At 36.5% G+C, this 21,385-nt stretch overlaps 1 protein-coding gene across 7 annotated transcripts in view, besides 1 other annotated feature; it reads right to left on the bottom strand.

Moving 5' to 3' along the window:
- The window catches only part of ELAPOR2 (endosome-lysosome associated apoptosis and autophagy regulator family member 2), a 182,749-nt gene that overhangs the window by 142,847 nt on the left and 18,517 nt on the right, over positions 1-21,385 (bottom strand). For 2 of the 7 annotated variants that reach the window (NM_001291991.2, NM_001291990.1), the window contains exon 1: positions 20,351-20,482. The exons of the other annotated variants lie outside the window; for them this stretch is intronic. The gene's annotated coding sequence lies outside the window, so the exon portion shown is untranslated. Of the gene's footprint in view, positions 1-20,350; positions 20,483-21,385 lie in introns of those variants that run through there. 7 annotated transcript variants of the gene reach the window in all.
- Positions 1,668-1,868: a silencer, noted in NCBI's record as "peak6623 fragment used in MPRA reporter construct". NCBI's record gives its function as "represses an SCP1 promoter by STARR-seq MPRAs in K562 erythroleukemia cells {active_cell/tissue: K562}" and the evidence as "EXISTENCE:reporter gene assay evidence [ECO:0000049][PMID:32103011]".

Raw genomic sequence — 21,385 nt, forward strand, 5'->3', positions numbered from 1 at the left:
GTACACACTTATTGACAAAACATTTCTATTCCCAGGACTCTATCCCTAGAAAATAATTAAGTAGTATTCTATATAAAGGGATATTCATTGCACTTAATATAGAAGTCAAAAGCTAAACTTTTATCACTTGATATTGGTAAAATAAATTCTGTTCATTCAAAATTATGTTACACCAATATAACATATTTTTAGTTTTTCATTAAAAATTATTTTATACCAATATAGCATATACAATATTTTTAGTTTTTCATTTAAAATTATGTTATACCAATATTTTCTTATAACACATCAGAAAGTGTTCAGAAATGTTAAACAGTAAACAGTGCAAGAAAACAATGTGTACCATCATCCCAATTGCTCTTTTAAGTATATTTTTGTACACAGCTATGGGTTTTAATACATATATATGCACTTACATACACACATATGTATATGTGTGCATATTTTAAAAGACTGAAAGTACCACAGCAAAACATAAATTTGAAGTAATTGTAATTCTGTATTTTCTAAATTTTCTATCTTAAATATACAGCTTTGATATCAGAAGAAACTATTATTAATAAAAGCAAACATCTGTTCATAGCAGCACTCTTCACAACAGCCAAAAGGTGAAAAGGACCCAAGTGACCATCAATGGATGAATGTAAAACAAAGTGTAGTATATACATAAAATGAAATATTTTTCAGACATAGGAGTAAAGTACTGATATTACTATAATGTGGATAAACCTCTAAAATACTATATTGTCAAAAAAGCCAGGCTCAGAAGGTAACATATTCCAGAATTACATTTATATGTAACGTCCAGAATAGATAAATCACATAAAATGCAGATTAGTGGTTGCCAGGAGCTGCAGGGAGGAGAGAATGGAAACTGCCTTATGGTTACAGGGTTTTACTTTGGAATTATGGAGATGTTTTGGAGTGTTACAATGCACACTTTATACATATCCTAAATGCCACTGAGTTTTCACTTTTAAATGATTAATTTTATGTTAAATGAATTTAGCCTTAATAATTTTTAAATTTAAAATTTAGAAATTGTAAAGAAAAAAGTAAACATCCAGTCATCACATTCCTCTTTAAAATTTACCAAATCATTTCAATCGCTTGAGACCATTTCCTCTACCAGTAGATTCCAGGTATGCTAGTGTGTCTGTTTCTCTTGCATGTGCTACTTTTATTACAAAAATAATAAAGTCTAACATTAATATAGTAGCATGAGCTGTTCTAAAGAGTTCATATGTATTAAATATGTTTAATCCTCACAACTCTATGGGGTAGGTATTATTAATTTCTATTATGATTATCCCTACTTTACAGATTAGAACAACACAGAATAAAGTGACTAGCTAAGGATTACACAGCTAGTAAGTGATAGAACTGGGATTTAAACCCAGCCAGACTGAGTTCAACCCTCTCAACTGCTTTAACTGTTATGTTTTACTTCCTCTCAAAGAATCCATGATCTCTGTAGAAAAACTAGAAATAGAGCTTTATATGTGAAATAAAGGATGACAAGACATACATAATCTTGCCACCCAGGGATAATCACAGTTAATTTGTTGCACATTTTCCCAAATAGATACACACGCATATATACCTACACCAATGTCTTCATAAGATGTTTTGTATTCTGCCTAATATATTGTAAATCTCTTCCATGTAAATAAATATACTGCCATATCAACACATTTAATGACTCATGATATCCATATCATAAGGAAACAATATATTTAACCAGTCACCTCTTAAAAATGTGGGTTGTTTATAAATAACACTAAGATGAATAACAACCTTCTACGTATACCACTGTTTAGTTAACCAATTTACTTAAGATAATTACAGAAATAGATACAGAATACCTGGTAAGAACATGTATTTTAAAGCTCTTGATAAATATTACCCAACTGTTTCCAGACAGTCTTTAATCATTTATACTCTCACCTGTAAGTTATGAGAATACCTCTCTTTAACACATTTATTTTTCAGCATTTTCCCAGCTAATCTCAGAACAAAGTCTATCTTACAAACCTGAAGAACATTTAAATTTCTAACTTACACCTTCAACAGATACACATTCCCAAGGAGGCAAAACTATATTTGGATTGGGGGCTATTCTTTTAAATGTACAGATTAAAATGAGGCAAACAGACATCTTTACAAAGTTGAGCTTTTGCCAGCTCAGAGTGTGATATATCTCTATTTAGGAATAATTGTCTTATAAAACATCCCTGTGGAATATGATCATTTTCAAATGAGTAAATAAGGCCTCAGCAGTTGACAGCCATAGGTTAGTGAATAAACTAAACTAAAATTTATTTATTTATTTATTTTGTATTATACTTTAAGTTTTAGGGTACATGTGCACAACATGCAGGTTTGTTACATATGTATACATGTGCCATGTTGGTGTGTTGCACCAATTAACTCGTCATTTAACATTAGTTATATCTCCTAATGCTATCCCTCCCCCCTCCCCCCACCCCACAACAGGCCCCAGTGTGTGATGTTCCCCTTCCTGTGTCCATGTGTTCTCATTGTTCAAGTCCCACCTACGAGTGAGAACATGTGGTGTTTGGTTTTATTGTCCTTGCGATAGTTTGCTGAGAATGATGGTTTCCAGCTTCATCCATGTCCCTACAAAGGACATGAACTCATCATTTTTTATGGCTGCATAGTATTCCATGGTGTATATGTGCCACAATTTCTTAATCCAGTCTATCATTGTTGAACATTTGGGTTGGTTCCAAGTCTTTGCTATTGTGAGTAGTGCCCCAATAAACATGTGTGCATGTATCTTTATAGCAGCATGATTTATAATCCTTTGGGTATATACCCAGTAATGGGATGACTGGGTCAAATGGTATTTCTAGTTCTAGATCCCTGAGGAATCGCCACACTGACTTCCACAATGGTTGAACTAGTTTACAGTCCCACCAACAGTGTAAAAGTGTTCCTATTTCTCCACATCCTCTCCAGCACCTGTTGTTTCCTGACTTTTTAATGATTGCCATTCTAACTGGTGTGAGATGGTACCTCATTGTGGTTTTGATTTGCATTTCTCTGATGGCCAGTGATAATGAGCATTTTTTCATGTGTTTTTTGGCTGTATAAATGTCTTCTTTTGAGAAGTGTCTGTTCATATCCTTTGCCCACTTTTTGATGGGGTTGTTTTTTTCTTGTAAATTTGTTGGAGTTCATTGTAGATTCTGGATATTAACCCTTTGTCAGATGAGTAGATTGCAAAAATTTTCTCCCATTCTGTAAGTTGCCTGTTCACTCTGATGTTAGTTTATTTTGCTCTTTAGTTTAATTAGATCCCATTTGTCAATTTTGGCTTTTGTTGCCATTGCTTTTGGTGTTTTAGACATGAAGTCCTTGCCCATGCCTATGTCCTGAATGGTATTGCCTAGGTTTTCTTCTAGGGTTTGTATGGTTTTAGGTCTAACATTTAAGTCTTTAATCCATCTTGAATTAACTTTTGTATAAGGTGTAAGGAAAGGATCCAGTTTCAGCTTTCTACATATGGCTAGCCAGTTTTCCCAGCACCATTTATTAAATAGGGAATCCTTTCCCCATTTCTTGTTTTTGTCAGGTTTGTCAAAGATCAGATAGTTGCAGATATGCGGCATTATTTCTGAGGGCTCTGTTCTGTTCCATTGGTCTATATCTCTGTTTTGGTACCAGTACCATGCTGTTTTGGTTACTGTAGCCTTCTAGTATAGCTTGAAGTCAGGTAGTGTGATGCCTCCAGCTTTGTTCTTTTGGCTTAGAATTGACTTGGCAATGCGGGCTCTTTTTTGGTTCCATATTAACTTTAAAGTAGTTTTTTCCAGTTCTGTGAAGAAAGTGATTGGTAGCTTGATTGGGATGGCAGTGAATCTATAAATTACCTTGGGCAGTATGGCCATTTTCATGATATTGATTCTTCCTACCCATGAGCATGGAATGTTCTTCCATTTGTTTGTATCCTCTTTTATTTCATTGAGCAGTGGTTTGTAGTTCTCCTTGAAGAGGTCCTTCACATCCCTTGTAAGTTGGATTCCTAGGTATTTTATTTGCTTTGAAGCAATTGTGAATGGGAGTTTACTCATGATTTGGCTCTCTGTTTGTCTGTTGTTGGTGTATAAGAATGCTTGTGATTTTTGCACACTGATTTTGTATCCTGAGACTTTGCTGAAGTTGCTTATCAGCTTAAGGAGATTTTGGGCTGAGACGATGGGGTTTTCTAGATATACAATCATGTCATCCGCAAACAGGGACAATTTGACTTCCTCTTTGCCTAATTGAATACCCTTTATTTCCTTCTCCTGCCTGATTGCCCTGGCCAGAACTTCCAACACTATGTTGAATAGGAGTGGAGAGAGGGCATCCCTCTCTTGTGCCAGTTTTCAAAGGGAATGCTTCCAGTTTTTGCCCATTCAGTATGATATTGGCTGTGAGTTTGTCGTAGATAGCTCTCATTATTTTGAGATACGTCCCATCAATACCTAATTTATTGAGAGTTTTTAGCATGAAGCGTTGTTGAATTTTGTCAAAGGCCTTTTCTGCATCTATTGAGATAGTCATGTGGTTTTCGTCGTTGGTTCTGTTTATATGCTGGATTACGTTTATTGATTTGCATATATTGAACCAGCCTTGCATCCCAGGGATGAAGCCCACTTGATCATGGTGGATAAGCTTTTTGATGTCCTGCTGGATTCGGTTTGCCAGTATTTTATCGAGGATTTCTGCATCAATGTTCATCAGGGATATTGGTCTAAAATTCTCTTTTTTTGTTGTCTCTCTGCCAGGCTTTGGTATCAGGATGACGCTGGCCTCATAAAATGAGTTAGGGAGGATTCCCTCTTTTTCTATTGATTGGAATAGTTTCAGAAGGAATAGTACCAGCTCCTCCTTGTACCTCTGGTAGAATTCGGCTGTGAATCCATCTGGTCCTGGACTTTTTTTGGTTGGTAAGCTATAATTATCACCGATCCCACAGAAATACAAACTACCATCAGAGAATACTATAAACACCTCTACACAAATAAACTAGAAAATCTAGAAAAAAGGGATAAATTCCTTGACACATACACCCTCCCAAGACTAAACCAGGAAGAAGTTGAATCTCTGAATAGACCAATAACAGGCTCTGAAATTGAGGCAATAATAAAATTTATTTTTTAAAATAAAAAGCAAGTATCACCCATGCCTGCCTTACATCACTGACCTAAGAGTCTTTTCCTACAGAAAAAAAAAAAAAACCATAGGCTGTCATGGATGTAATTTATAAGATTATGATTCCTCCATACTGTAGGTCACCTGATAAACCAAGTCAGAATTATAGAAGGCTAAGACATTCTATGGTCCCTAAACCTTGTCTTGAGGAATACTAAGTATTTCATGCTAAATGTCTAAATTCAATTCGTTTAGATGACTAAATGAAATTGTAGAAGCAGTCATCTGTTGGCAGATTCACCAAGCCCTCTTGTTGACTATTTTCAGACAATGCTTATTTTCTAAAAACCATCAAGCTACATTCTCTGCCCAGTATGACCATATTGGACAGGAAAAATCCCCCTTCAGTCAAGAGTATCGAACAAAAAGCAAAGACCTAATTCCTATTTTATCTAAAAATATAAAACAAGAAGAAATAAAGTCATAAAATGTCAAGCTTGGAAAGGACTTTACAGATGATCTAAACCAGTCTCTTTCTTTGCCAAATGAGAAGATGGAGTCCAGCAGAAAGCAAGTTACTCAGGTCACACAATTAATGACAAGTAAAATCTTGTAACTGGGTCTCTTGACTCACAGGCCAATGCTTATCCCACCACACTCTGGTGCACACATAACCAATTGAGCATTACCTGCCAATCAATTCACTTCCAAAAAAAGTGATTAAAAATTTTTCTTCTGGATAATTAAAATTAGATTATGCTTTTCAAGCTACTGTAAATTAAGGCCAATTTTTTACATAATATTGAAGAACTATTAAGCCTCTAACATTAAATAATTTTACTAAATTTAAAACATTTCAAGTAAAATCAAATTTGAGCATAATTCTTCAAAATTCCTCAACATGTTAGACATATGTTATATTTTTGAAGGAGCTAATTAATTCAATGAAAAAAATTGTCAATTAGAAATGTTTATCAAATAGTGTAGAAATAAAGGTGTATATTTCTGGCAGGCCAAAAAAGAGAAAAACCAGCAACTGGCACAAAAGCAAACCTTAAACAAACATATTCTCCTGTTGTATTTGCTTGAATAAACCAGTCTACCAAAACACAAAATCAAGACCTACGCATATATCTACTTCCATATGCTGTTTGTATTTTTATCAGTACAGTCACTAAGAAAGCACTGAGAAAAAGATGCCTTTCCAGAATAGCTGAACATGAGAAAGTAAGGGGGAAAGCTGGAAGAGTTGTGATTTCATGGGTGCAGAGGAAGATTGAATTTAGGTTTCATTGAGCCGTGGTCATCAGTGAGATAAACTGTGAAGCCTGGACATAAACCTATCATTAATAAATTGTATGTTTAATATGGTTAGTATGGGAACTATCACTAGGTTTTATCTGTGAAGAAGCCATGGAGAATATGTTTACTATTTTCTCTAGATTAAAAAATCTAGTCTCTTGTTGAATCACTTTTTTCATGTTTAAACAACATGAAATTTTTAAGAAATTATTTAAAGTATACAAAGTTAGGAATTAAAAAAAAAAAGACTCTCTCAAGAGAGTCATTCAGTGGCCATTTTAGGGAACTGCTGAACTTTAGAATTCCCAGTTAGAAAGTAATTTGGAAAACATCCAAATTTTATTGGATATTTTATTTAACACTAATTTTTACCACAGCTGTTTTGTTCTTTTTAGATCTTGTATTCTGCCGTAAGCCTATAAAGGAGTGATAGGCCCATAAAAATACATTTTCTATTCCACAGTTAAATTTACATTATTTCTTATTGCACTAAGAACTTAGAGATAATGGGGTCTCTACAGTCATTAATTATGATCTGTATTTTACACTTTCTAAATAAAATCCATAATAAATACGATCTGTATTTTACAGTCTCCAAATAAAAGCCAACTGTTTTATGAGGATGCATCATAATGGCCTGTATCCCAATTAAAACCTCATGCTGAAAAAGAAGCAACTCTTCAGGGAGAACGGGATACCCAGAAATTAGCTGAAAACATTTACTTGGATCGTACACCTAGATATACAAATATGAGCCAATTTCTATAATATTTTTCTTGGTGCAACAACAAAATTTCTTCTAATAAACCTAATTTCTCTCTATACTAAAGGTGATATACTGTGGGGTCAGATGTTGGCCTTTATTTAGAACTAGGCTGTGCTGCCATCTTAATAAGACCAGGGAGATGGTACATATATTTAATGTAAGGTTTTTCCCAGAGAAGGCACTTTGATTTATCTCTTCTTCCCAAAGTAGACATAGTTTCCTTCTACTAGCTTGCTGGTTCTACTGTTTTAAACATGAAATTAAATGAGAAATCTAAGAAAAGTCTGACATCATATTCATTATAATTTGGCAAGTGTTCATTTTATATCAGAAAAGCCACCTCCCACCCCAAATCATTTCAAATGACACATACGACTGGATTGAGTAACTGGTAACTGTGCCTAAATATCACCCAGCAGAAAAATTTTAAGTGTCATTAGAATAAAACTTCAGAAATAAGCCTATGGGAAAGTAAAGTGTTATGGGTTGAATTGTGTCCCCAAAAAATTCACATGCTGAAGTCCTAACTCCTAGTACCTCTGAATGTAACCTTATTTGGTCCTTTGCAGAAGCAATAGACTTAAAATGAGGTTATTATGGTGAGCCAAATCCAATATGGCTGCTATCCTTATAAAAGGGAAATTTGGACAAAGAGATAAGCATAGAGTGAGGATGGATGTGAAGAGACACACAGGGAGAAGATGGCCATCCATGCCAAGGAGAGAAGCCTGGAACAGATCCTTCTGCCATAATCCTTAGAAGGAACCAAGCCTGCTGGCACCTTGATTTTGGACTTCTAGCTTGCAGAACAATAAATTTGTGTTGTGTAAGCCACCCAGTTTATGGAGCTTTGTTATAGCTGTCCCCAGAAAAGTAATACAAAAGGATATCCCCAAACTAGAAAGAGGGGGGAAAAGTCATGTGCTGTAAAGAAAATGGATGAGCTTGATCAAAATGTCTCAAATTAAAAGACTGAAAATTATAAGTATGCCTCATTTTAAGAGACTCTTAAACAAGACATCATAATAAAACAACAGCTGCTATTCTTAGAACAAAATCTTGCATTTAGAAGACATGTTGAAGTATACTTTGTTCAGCATTACTCTTACCAAGTAACTATTTTCACTTCCCCCTTCAGTTACTACCACTTTTCATCCCTGACTAGCAAAGCTCCTCAAAACAAGTGTCTGTTCTCACTGTGTTGCCTCCTTTCTTCCCTTTCCTGAACCCATTCCAATCAGGTTTTTACCTCTCTCCCTCAGTCAAAATTGCTTTTTTCAAGATAATTGAAAAGACCTTCACCTTGCTAAATAAAAACACCTGTTTCAATATTCCTCTCACTAGATCTAACAACTGTGTTTGATTTCATCCATCAACCCTCTTCTTCAACACTTTCTTTATTTGACCTCTGGGACACCATCGTCCATTGGTTCTAACTCTCCTGATGTGCCCTAGCACTTGGTCCTTGACTACTTCTTTTTAGCTAAACTTGCTCCCTAGGAGACCTTAGAAAAGCCTATCATTTCTTCCAAAATACATATATATAAATATATTTTATGTACAAAATATATAAAAAATCCAATTTCTTCTCACCATTCCACACCTAACACCTTAATCTAAGCTGCCATAATGCCTCACCCATATTTTCGTAATATCCTAACTCCTTTGTTGTTACCCACATCTCTGGCAGTCTATTTCCCACATAGCAGCTAGTTTGATCTTTTTACACATAAATCACATCAGATTACATCTGTGCTCAAAAGCCTCTAAGGCCTTCATCTCATTCAGAATAAAAGGCAAAGTCTTTCACACACCCTAAAAGGCACCATGTGATCAGCCACACTCCACCCACATGACCCCTGTGGTCTCAATTCCTGCCACGTCCCTCTCACTCTGCTCAAGCCACAGGGGGTCACTCTCCTCTGAACACTTAAAGTGCATGATCATTTTAGGGTTTTTGCATTTGCATTTGTTATTCCCTCTTTCTGGAAGATCCTTCCCCAGATGTCTCCTCTTCACTCAGGCATTATTCAAATGCTGTAACATCCAAAGCCCTTTTCTGACTTTTTAGATAGACACACATCCCTATACCCTCAGCTCCCTTATTTTTCTTCCTACATTTATCACCACTTCTCATGTATTTGTATAATGTCTATCTCTTTTTACCATTTCATAATCTCCATAAGAATGGAAACTCTCTTTTTGTTCTCTGATGTGTTCCCGGTAACTAGGCCAGGGGTAAACATAAAAGAAGGGCTGAAAAAATATTTGTTGAAAGAACAAATGGATACCACATGGCCTGGCATAGAGTAGATATTAAATAAATGGCACTTTGAAATATAGCCATTACACAAGGGATTCTTAACCCTGGCTATGCACTGGCATCTGGCTCCTGGACCCTGTCCTCAGATCCCTAAATTGGAAATAAATTTTTGGTCTGTGATTCTAACTTGCAGCCAGATTGAGAGCTACTTCACTGGACTATGAGTTCCTTAAAGAAAGGATTGTGCTTTTTCGCAATTCTTTTTATAATTTAAGGAGCCATAAATATTATTTTGGAACTTGATGGAAAACTATGCAATGGAGGTTGGATTTTAGAGTCATTTAAACAAAGGTTGTAGGTAAGACAAGCAGTTGGATAAGTAATGTAAATAATGTAACAATGGTTTTCCATAGGTGTTATGGCAGGTGATTTTCATTCTTGCTTGTTCAAATTATTCAAATGGTTTATAATAAGCATGTTTACAGAAAAATAATGAAAGAAATATGGATAAGATCACTCAGACAGGATATCTACAATGCAAAAAGACAAAAAGCAAAAACCTGGGGCAATCGAGATTTACAAAGAGGTCATAGAAGAGTAGCTAAAGAAATAAGGACATAACAATGAGTGACACAACATTACAGTATAAGAAAGCAGAAGCCTGGAAGTAGAGTCAAATGCCTCAGATGGAATAGGATGAGGATTAAAGACACCACTAATAATTAGATGATTACTAACCATGACAAGAGATTCAGGAAAATAAGTGGGATAAAAGCCTGACTCTAGTGAATTGGAAAGAGAATTGAGGAAATAAAGGTAAACAATCTGATTTTGAAGAGATCAGGAAAACAAAGCCATAGCTGAAAATTTCAGGTTAAGGATTAGCCTGCCTCTGTCATAGAGAGTGCAGAACTCACTACTATGATGCCAAGTAAGTCACATTTATTCTCCCTGTCCTGTTAGGGTGATCACCTACTGCTACAAAAGATGGATTCTAAGACGAGATAAGCCTAAATGGGACATGTCAGTCAGTCACAGTACATACCAATACCTTTTCTCTTCCTGGAACAATATAAGAAAAACATAAGCGTCCTCAAAACTTGCAAAAACACTATTAGTCTAAAAGAATGCTTATCTTGTTCTAAATGCAAACATGTTAGTCAACAGAATTCTCATCAGCTCCCACCAAAAGAAAAAAAAAGAAAGAAAGAAAAAGAAAAAATACAACTAAACCTAGCTATCTTGATGGATTTGTGATTTATGGCATTAAACTGAATTAAGTTTGGCCTAAAGCTGCCACCGTACATATTTTGAGTTTGGCATAATGGTTTCTCCATACATTATGAACTATAACCTAACTTGTGTAAACAGACTGTAATTTCATGAAAAGTAAACCCTTATAACAAGTAGCTGAGTCTCAAATCACAGTAGCTGCAGACAACCAGAGGCTGAAAGCTGCCAGATTACACCCAAAGAAGGTACATGCCAGCTGTACCAATCAAGTACTCTCTGTATGTCATTTCTTATTTTCTCGTTATATAGTCCACCAGGTTTGTAGGTGGGGGTACTCTGTTACCCCATGGTGTTGATGAAGACATACCCAAGACTGGGTAATTTATAAAGAAAAAGAGGTTTAATGGACTCACAGTTCCACATGGCTGGGGAGGCCTCACAATCATGGTGGAAGATGAAAGGCACATTTTACATGGTGGCAGACAAGAGAGAATGAGAGTCAAGTGAAAGGGGTTTCCCCTTATAAAACCATCAGATCGCATGAGACTTATTCACTACCACGAGAACAGTATGGGGAAACCACCCCCATGATTCAATTATCTCCCACCTGGTCCCTCCCACAACATGTGGGAATTATGGGAGCTACAATTCAAGATGGGATTTGGGTGGGGACACAGAAAAACCATATCACCACCTTCATCAGGAATGCTGTCTGGTTCTAGAACTTTTTTCTTGCTCAAATGTTAAATTTAACTCCTCTCAGTTTTTCTTTAACAATAGAAACATAATTTCAATTAGGAATGAATATATTTAATTGTTCATCCAACTGAACACACACAAAGACTGTTTTCATTTCCATACAGTATGTCAATGCTCATTACCATGAACTAAACAAAGTCCTCATTTTAGCCTCTGAATGAGTGGCATGAGATCCACATTTCTCACCTGCACTCCCAGAGACATGCATTCATTAATTGATAGTTAAATGATCTACAGACAGGCAAGTAAGTGAAAATATTAATAGTTCTAACAGCAGGCACATCTAATAGACTAACTGAATGGTTAGCTCCAAAAATCAAGATTTATCAGAACAGCGTTAAATACTGAATGAAACAAAGAATCACCTACAGGAATATCTCAGAATGCCAAAAATCCTTTAGTACTTACACTTACATGTTTAGACTGCTGCGGCTAAATTTTATAAAGAACTTACTGGAGTACTCACTAGTTAGTATTTAATGATCATAGATTACATTATCTTATTGGAGCTTAAGAATATCAAGTGCTATGATTACAACTATATTATGTTAAAAATAGGTATATTAAATAACAAATTGTGTATAGCCATATAGTAGACTACTACTCAGCAGAAAGGAACAAACTTGATACACACCACAATGTGAATAAACCTCAAAAATCATTATGCTAAGTGAAAGAAGACAGCCCCCCACCCAAAAAAGAGTACATGCCATACAATTCCACTTATCTAAAATTCTATAAAATGCAACTGAATCTGTAGTGACAGCAGATCAGTGGCTGCCTAGGGACAGAGTGGAGGAAGGGTTAGATTACAAAGAGAAACAGGAAACTTTTGGGGATGTTGAAAATGACTATCTTGATTATGACAATAGTTTCATGAGTGCTTACATATGTCAAAACTGATCAATTTATATACTTCAAATATATGTATCTGAGTGCACTTCAATTAAGCTTCCATAAAGATTTGTTTAAAGATTGAGGCAATGATTTAACTTCTATATAAAATGTCTGAATATCACTTTAAAGCAGCATCATTTGCTTATGAATGATGAATGAACTAATAACAAATGATTGCTATTAAGTGGGCTAATATCTGTAAAACACTTACAGCAATGCCTGAGCCATATTAACTGATAAGTCTTAAAAGAAAGAGGTGTAAGGAAGAGAACAAAAACAAAAAGATGTAAAATGACAGAATTACACATCAATTTGTCCATCAATTTTTATTCTGAATTTTCTTTGGAATATAGTTTTCCAACAACAGAAAAAGGCCATCTGTTTTTGAAGTTTTACAGATTTCTGGTTTAAGATGACATCAGACTAACAAATCTCACTCTCACCTCTTCACGTACATCCTTCACTCCCAGAAATGTACAGATAAAAACAGAGGCAGAAAATGCCCTAGGTCCAGTACCTATCATGTGCTTCTTCACATAGAAGAACCACAGACAGCTCTGTTTCTTTAAAACATTCTCCTAATCGAGAATCTAATAGACAGAATGAGATCCTCAAAGTTCATCAGCATAGCATAAAAAGGAAGTTTCTCAGACAACAGAAACTGGACTAGGAACTCTGCACAGACATGCTATCAAGACAGGAGGACCAGTGGCTACCTACACACCTTGTGTGTGAGTAAAACACAGCAGTACATAAAGCTTTCCTTGTGAAAATGTGGAATTAACATCTACCTTGGAGGAGACGAAAGATTTCTGAAACACATGAGAAAAGGATCTCTACCTTGAAAAAAAGAAATCATGTGAAAATGATTGGCTACTGGGAAAAACTGTAAATAGCTGCCTGGTACACCTAATAAGATTCGATCAATAGCCTCTAAGAATCAGTCATGGAGAGCTGTAAGCATAATAGATCAGTTCTGTGTAGGCAGAGTGGGAGGTAGTGGAGTTCAGTGGAAAGTGAGCTCTCTGGAGACAAATCTATCCCAGCTTTATGGCTCACTAGCTTTGTCATCTTTTGTAAGTTATTAATTGCCTTTGAGCTTCAGTTTCTTCATCTCTGAAAGCAGAGGCATGGACTTCTGTGAGAAAAGTGTTTCACACATTAACTACTCAATAAATGGAACTTGTTATCAAAAAAATCGAAGATAATTAACTGACAAAACGTTAGAATTAATAAGACAGCCCTGTAAGAAACTAGATACACAATTAATTTCTAAAAACCAGTGGCTTTTCAACATATCAGGGAAAAATCAATTAAAAGGTAAAGTGGTTGGCAGAAAAATGTCATGGAAAATAGTAACATAAAATAGTTCAGAATACAAAGATTGTGCTAGTGAGAAATACAGAATGCCTCAATAAATGCTAAAACAGACTGTATGTCTTTAAATGTGAAGATAATACTAAAAATATGACATTTTTTCCAAATAAATGGGCGAACTTAAGAGAATCCAAAAAAAATTTTTAACTTTTCAAAATTATTCTGAAGTTGAACTGAAAGACTAAATAAGTGAGAACAGCTGAGAATGAAAGAAAATTAAGTGCCACCATATAAAACTATATTATAAAACTCTGCAATCTGTACAAAAAAAATCAATAGTGTAGAAAATAGCTCAAAAGAAATTGAATAAATGTGCATATATATAATATAGCACATATTATATATAAAACAATAGCTTATAAATTTTTATATATCCACATACACAATAGATGGTATAGAAAACAGACCAACAGAAAAAGGATGAATTATGGATTGTTCAAAACACTATTTGTAAAAACTGGTTATTCAGGGAACAAAGTCAGAGACATATCAAGTACTTAATAAAATTCTTGAGGAATCAAAATAGGGGAGTAAGTTCATGTCATATTTTTAAATGCCAAAAAACATTACCAAACTATATGTACATAATATTACCATTTTGTAACCATATGTGTACACTGATAATGAAATACATGCAAAGGACTTTTGATATATGTAATAGAGGCAGTATAGTCTGATGGTGAAAAGTATGGGCCCTGGTGTAGCAGCTTGGATTCACAAGTAACTTAAACATGGGGAGAAGATGCGGCGGTTCAAGCTTACCAATTAGAGTTAGGGAGATGAGTGAGTTAATAAATAAAAATGCACTTAAAATTTTACCTGGCTATTGTTATTATTTATTATTCATATTACAAATACTAAGATGTTAAAAGTGGCATGCTTATTTAGTGAGATTATGGGTGTTTTTATTGCTGCATTTTTCTGGAATGCATATATTGCTTTTAACTTTAAAAGGTGACAAATGTAGAAAAAAATGAGATCATTAAAAAAAAACCTCAAGTAAATGATCTTAATATTTATCTGCTCTTTAGATAGGGAAGCACTTTCCTAGCATAACAGGCTCAGATATGTTTAAGCATCAATTATTATTTTGGTTCAAGTTATTTCCTGCTATGCATTATTTATATGCCTAAGAATTATCAAGTAGAAGTCTGCATTACATTTTCAAGGGTCAGTTCTTTCTGCTCTTAACGTTAGGAGGTAGGGTTAAACACCAAAGGGCACTGTGTTTTTACACTGTAGCATTCTTAGAATAAAGTGCTAAGTAAGACAGAATAAGAATGTGTGTGGCCAGGCGCAGTGGCTCACGACTGTAATCCAAGCACTTTGGGAGGCCAAGGCGGCTGGATCACCTAAGGTCAGGAATTCGAGACCAACCTGGCCAACATGGTGAAACCCCGTCTCTACTAAAAATACAAAATTAGCCGGACATGGTGGCGTGTGCCTGTAATCCCAGCTACTCAGGAGGCTGAGGCAGAATTGTTTGAAGCTTGAAGCAGGGAGGCAGAGGTTCCAGTGAGCCAAGATAGCACCACTACACTCCAGCCTGGACAAAAAAGAGTGAAACTCCGTCTCAAAAAAAAAAAAAAAAAATTGTGTGCTAGCTACGACTAATGCATCAAGGTCAAATATTTATCTTCTCACCAGTTACAGTAGGTATGGATATACCCCTGAGCAGTCATTGAACTGCCCCTTAAATCCAGCATAGTGAAATTGTCAAAGTTCAGTAAATTAGAACTCATGGCTCCTACACATGGAACCTAGGTTTGCAATCCATCCAAAGAAGCAGCTCTGCAATTTTCAGAGTATAAAGACAAAGCTCATGGCTTCTGCATATGTAAAACACCTTCTAAGATGAACTAAATTCTGCATCCTTTTGTCTACTACCCGCTAATCCAAATCTTGTCCTCTAAATGAGCATTATAGCAATTATAGCATTATGACTGCACTTAATATATTTGAAGCTCATGTCATGGCCCCCTCAAGTCTACTCTAAGCTAAACAACCCCATTTCCTTTGGTTAGTTTCCCGTGACGTACTTTCCAAATAACTAATCTTCCTAATTCACATCTCAAGCCAATGTCACCCTTTGTCAATATCCCTCTTCAAATATTGCATCTAAGTTGAACTAATGACCTAATATAAATGTCTACCTTCCACAAACAAGGCATTCTTCTCATATAAACAGAACTCAAGACCCTCCATCATTGCTTTTGCAGCCATATGACAGCTATGGCTTCAGAAGTACTTTTAAGTAAAATTTTCCCATTCTATGCTTGAACATCTGATTTTCAGAACCAGAAAAGAACAGTCTACATTTAAATCAATTATGTTGGATTGCCCATTATTCTAGCCTTTTGAAATCATTTTGAATCCCAATTCTGTTTTCCAACTCATTAGGAATCCTTCTCAGCTTTCTGACTTTACAAAATTTGGTTATGCCGTCTCAAAACCCAAGTATTATTTAAAATGGTAATAGTAAAACAGTAAAAGGACAGAAATTAGATATTAAGCACAAAAGTATTGCATTGGAGATGTTCTTTCAGTTTAGCATCACATACATTAATAATCTTAGTATACATTTGTTCAAATAGCCAGGAATCTGCCTAATATTCCGTCATTCATCATATACTATGCATTTTGTCAATAATGATATGACAATTCAAATGTCTCACTGTAGGCCAAGCATGGTGCCTCACACCTGCAATCCCAGTACTTTGGGAGGCTGAGGTGGGATGATTACTTGAGACCAGGAGTTCAAGACCAGCCTGGGCAACAGGGTGAAACCCTGTCTATACAAAATAATAATAATAATACAAAAATTAGCAAGGCATGGAAGCATGTGCCTGTAGTCCCAACTACTCGGGAGGCTGAGGTTGGAGGATCACTGGAGCTCTGGGAGGTCAAAACTATGTGAGCTGTTATTGTACCACTGCACTCCAGCCTGAGTGACAAGGAGACCCTATCTTTAAAAAGGGTTTGCTGAACTATTCACAATAGCAAAGTCATGGAAGCAAGCTAGGTGACCATCATTGGTGGATTAGATAAAGAAAATGTGGTACATATACCCCATGGAATACTATAGAGCCATAAAAAACAACAAAATCATGTATTTTGCATAAACATGGATGTAGCTGGAGGCTATTTTCCTAAGCAAAGTAACACTGGAACAGAAAACCAAATACCGTATGTTCTTACTTATAAATGGCAGCTAAACATTGGGTACTCATGGAATTAAAGATGGCAACAATAGACACTACAGACTATTAGAAAGGAAAGGGAAAAGCAGGGGCAAGGGTTGAAAAACTGTTGGGTACTATGGTCAGTACCTGGGTGATGGGATCATTCATATCCCAAACCTCAGCATCATACAATATGCCCAGATAACAAACGTACAAATGTACCCCAATCTAAAAGTTGAAAAATTAAAATAAGAAAACACCCTGAATATTAAAAATCACCCTGCCTATATCATACTCCAGATTTACGGGTCTCCTTCCCATCAACCTCCAGTCTGCTTCTGTGCTAATGCTAATCCTTCTCTACTGGCTGTACCTTCTCAGTTTCATCCTCAAATGCTTCTCACTCTGCTTGCTTCTTAAATGCTGTTGTTTCCCTAAGCACTCTCCTCAACACAGTGCTCTTGCTATATGCTCAGAGCCTAAGTGACCTCATCAACATCAATGGCTTCAATTACCTCTTATGTACTCATGGCTCCCAAGTTGTCTCTCAGCTGCACTCCTGTACATCCACCTGTCTTCAGGAGAGCACTGTTTGTGTGTGCCCAGGGTACTATAAACTCAGGATGTCCAATGCTGAACTCATCCTATTTCCCGCCCCCACCACCACCTCCTCCTTTTCCTTCTCTCAATTTTTTTATCTCAATAAAAGACAGCAGCATCTACTCAGACCAAAAACTTATAAGTCATGGTAGACTGAAATGTATCACTCGGTTGCAGACTCCTGAAAATAAGATGTCTTTAATAGCTGTAAAATCCATCTATTCTCTCCCTCTCCATTCATACTGTCATGTGTTTAGTTCTGTTAGTTATTTTCTCCCCGTGAGAGAGGCAAGAGTCTCCTAACTGATCTTCCTGCGTCCAATGTGATTTCCCTTTTATGTTCCTTCATTTGCCAACAGAATAATCTTTCTAATTTGATGTTAATAGCGCTTCATAGCTTGCCTCGCAAGACCTTCAGTCTCTGACACTTCTGCCACCACCACCCACGTGCCCTTCAAGTTGGCCCTTGAAATTATAATATTATTTAATTCCTCTTTGATGTTATACATGTTATTTTCTTTGACTGAGATGTGGTGGTCTCTGTGCATCCTGTAAAGCACTACTATAAATCCTTCCAAACTCAGCTGAAACATCACTTGCTCTGACACCAGAGTTTCTTTAGTCTGATTTAGTTGCCTCTTCTCTGTGCTTCTATACAGCCCTGTGAATGACTCCATCACAGCACTTAACCCATCTGTACTATCATCATAGACTATCCTATAATTTTTTCCTGTGAGATACATGCTAGATGAGCTAATAAACATATGAATGGCAACTGAAAAAGAAGTAACAGAGAATGAATAGTCATGAAATATCTAAAACACACTCTTAGAACCAAGAATACCAATCCAAGTGCAAGAATTCTTGGTCACTTTGTAGCTGCTTCCATATTTTTCTCAAACACCTGAAAGCCTTCATATATTGTAATGATTTAATAAGGTATTATGTACCAAACATTCTTTTTGGAAATTAAGATGTATTACAGTTTGATATGTTAAGGGAGGTAATTCCATATACCTTTTTAGGGACTAAATAATTGCTTTCTCTGGATATTACATATCTCAAAACACACAGATAAGAAAAAGTCTAGGGAAATATATATTATCCTTATTATACTAAAAGCTTGTATACATAACGATGCAAACACCTAAATAGGAAATCTCACAAAAAGTGAAATACAAAAAGCTAAGTGACACGAAAAATATTGACCTTCATGAGTGATTAAAGAAATGCACATGTTAGGTCACAAAATAAGTCTTAATACATTCAAAAGACTGAAACAATATCAAGCAGCTTCTCTGGCCACAGTGGAATAAAACTAGAAATTAATAATAAGAGCAATTTTGGAAACTATACAAATACATGAAAATTAAACAATATGCTCCTGAATGACCAGTGGGTCAATGAAGAAATTGAGAAGAAAATTGAAAAATTCCTTGAAACAAATGGTAATGGAAACACAACATACCAAAACTTATGGGATACAACAAAAGCAGTATTAAGAGGGAAGTTTATAGCTATAAGTGTCTACATCAAAAAAGAAAAAAAACTTTAAATAAACAATCTAATGATGTATCTTAATGAACCAGAAAAGCAAGAGCAAACCAAACCCAAAATTAATAGAAAATAATAAAAATCACAGAAATAAATGAAATGAAGAAAATACAAACGATCAATGAAACAAAAAGTTAGTTTTTTGAAAAGTTAAACAAAATTGACAAAACTTTAGCTAGACTAAGAAAAAAAGAAGATACAAATAAATAAAATCAGAAATGAAAAAGAAGACATTACAACTGATACTGCAGAAATGCAAAGGATCATTAGAGGCTACTATGAGTAACTATACGCCAACCAACTGGAAAACCTAAAAGAAGTGGACTAATTCCTAGACTCATACAACCTACCGAGACTAAACCAGGAAGAAGTCCAAAACCTGAACAGACCAATACCAATGAAATCAAAGCCACAATAAAAAGTCTCCCAGTAAAGAAAAGCCTGGGACCCAATGGCTTCACTGCTGAATCCTACCAAACATTTCAAGAAGAACTAATCTCGGTCCAACTCAAGCTATTCTGAAAACCCAAGAGGAGAGAATACTTCCAAACTCATTCTACAAGGCTAATATTACCCTGATACCAAAACCAGACAAAGACACATAATAAAAAAAACTACAGGCCAATATCTCTGACGAATACTGATGTAAAAATCCTCAACAAAATACTAGCAAAATGAATTCAACAACACATTAGAAGGATCATTCATCATGACCAAGTGAGATTTATCCCTGGGATGCAAGGATAATTCAACATACGCAAATAAATCAATGTGATACATTGGATCAACAGAATGAAGGATAAAAGCTACAAGATCATTTCAATTGATGCTGAAAAAGCATTTAATAAATTTCAACATCCCTTTATGATAAAAAAAAATTTAAAAACTAGGTATAGAAGGAACATACCGAGGGAGGAGCCAAGATGGCCGAATAGGAACAGCTCTGGTCTACAGCTCCCAGCGTGAGCGACGCAGAAGACGGGTGATTTCTGCATTTCCATCTGAGGTACCGGGTTCATCTCACTAGGGAGTGCCAGACAGAGGGCGCAGGTCAGTGGGTGCGCGCACCGTGCACGAGCCAAAGCAGGGTGAGGCATTGCCTCACTCGGGAAGCGCAAGGGGTCAGGGAGTTCCCTTTCCTAGTCAAAGAAAGGGGTGACGGACGGCACCTGGAAAATCGGGTCACTCCCACTCGAATACTGCGCTTTTCCGACGGGCTTAAAACACGGCGCACCACAAGATTATATCCCGCACCTGGCTCGGAGGGTCCTACGCCCACGGAGTCTCGCTGATTGCTAGCACAGCAGTCTGAGATCAAACTGCAAGGCGGCAGCGAGGCTGGGGGAGAGGCGCCCGCCATTGCCCAGGCTTGCTTAGGTAAACAAAGCAGCCGGAAAGCTCGAACTGGGTGGAGCCCACCACAGCTCAAGGAGGCCTGCCTGCCTCTGCAGGCTCCACCTCTGGGGGCAGGGCACAGACAAACAAAAAGACAGCAGTAACCTCTGCAGACTTAAATGTCCCTGTCTGACAGCTTTGAAGAGAGCAGTGGTTCTCCCAGCACGCAGCTGGAGATCTGAGAATGGGCAGACTGCCTCCTCAAGTGGGTCCCTGACCCCCGAGCAACCTAACTGGGAGGCACCCCCCAGCAGGGGCACACTGACACCTCACACTGCAGGGTATTCCAACAGACCTGCAGCTGAGGGTCCTGTCTGTTAGAAGGAAAACTAACAAACAGAAAGGACATCCACACCAAAAACCCATCTGTACATCACCATCATCAAAGACCAAAAGTAGATAAAACCACAAAGAGGGGAAAAAACAGAACAGAACAGCTGGAAACTCTAAAAAGCAGAGCGCCTCTCCTCCTCCAAAGGAACGCAGTTCCTCACCAGCAACGGAACAAAGCTGGATGGAGAATGACTTTGACGAGTTGAGAGAAGAAGGCTTCAGACAATCAAATTACTCTGAGCTACGGGAGGACATTCAAACCAAAGGCAAAGAAGTTGAAAACTTTGAAAAAAATTTAGAAGAATGTATAACTAGAATAACCAATACAGAGAAGTGCTTAAAGGAGCTGATGGAGCTGAAAACCAAGGCTCAAGAACTACGTGAAGAATGGAGAAGCCTCAGGAGCCGATGCGATCAACTGGAAGAAAGGGTATCAGCGATGGAAGATGAAATGAATGAAATGAAGGGAGAAGGGAAGTTTAGAGAAAAAAGAATAAAAAGAAATGAGCAAAGCCTCCAAGAAATATGGGATTATGTGAAAAGACCAAATCTATGTCTGAT

The sequence above is a fragment of the Homo sapiens genome, chromosome 7 (assembly GCF_000001405.40).
Source record: "Homo sapiens chromosome 7, GRCh38.p14 Primary Assembly".
Classification (NCBI taxonomy): Eukaryota; Metazoa; Chordata; class Mammalia; order Primates; family Hominidae; genus Homo; species Homo sapiens.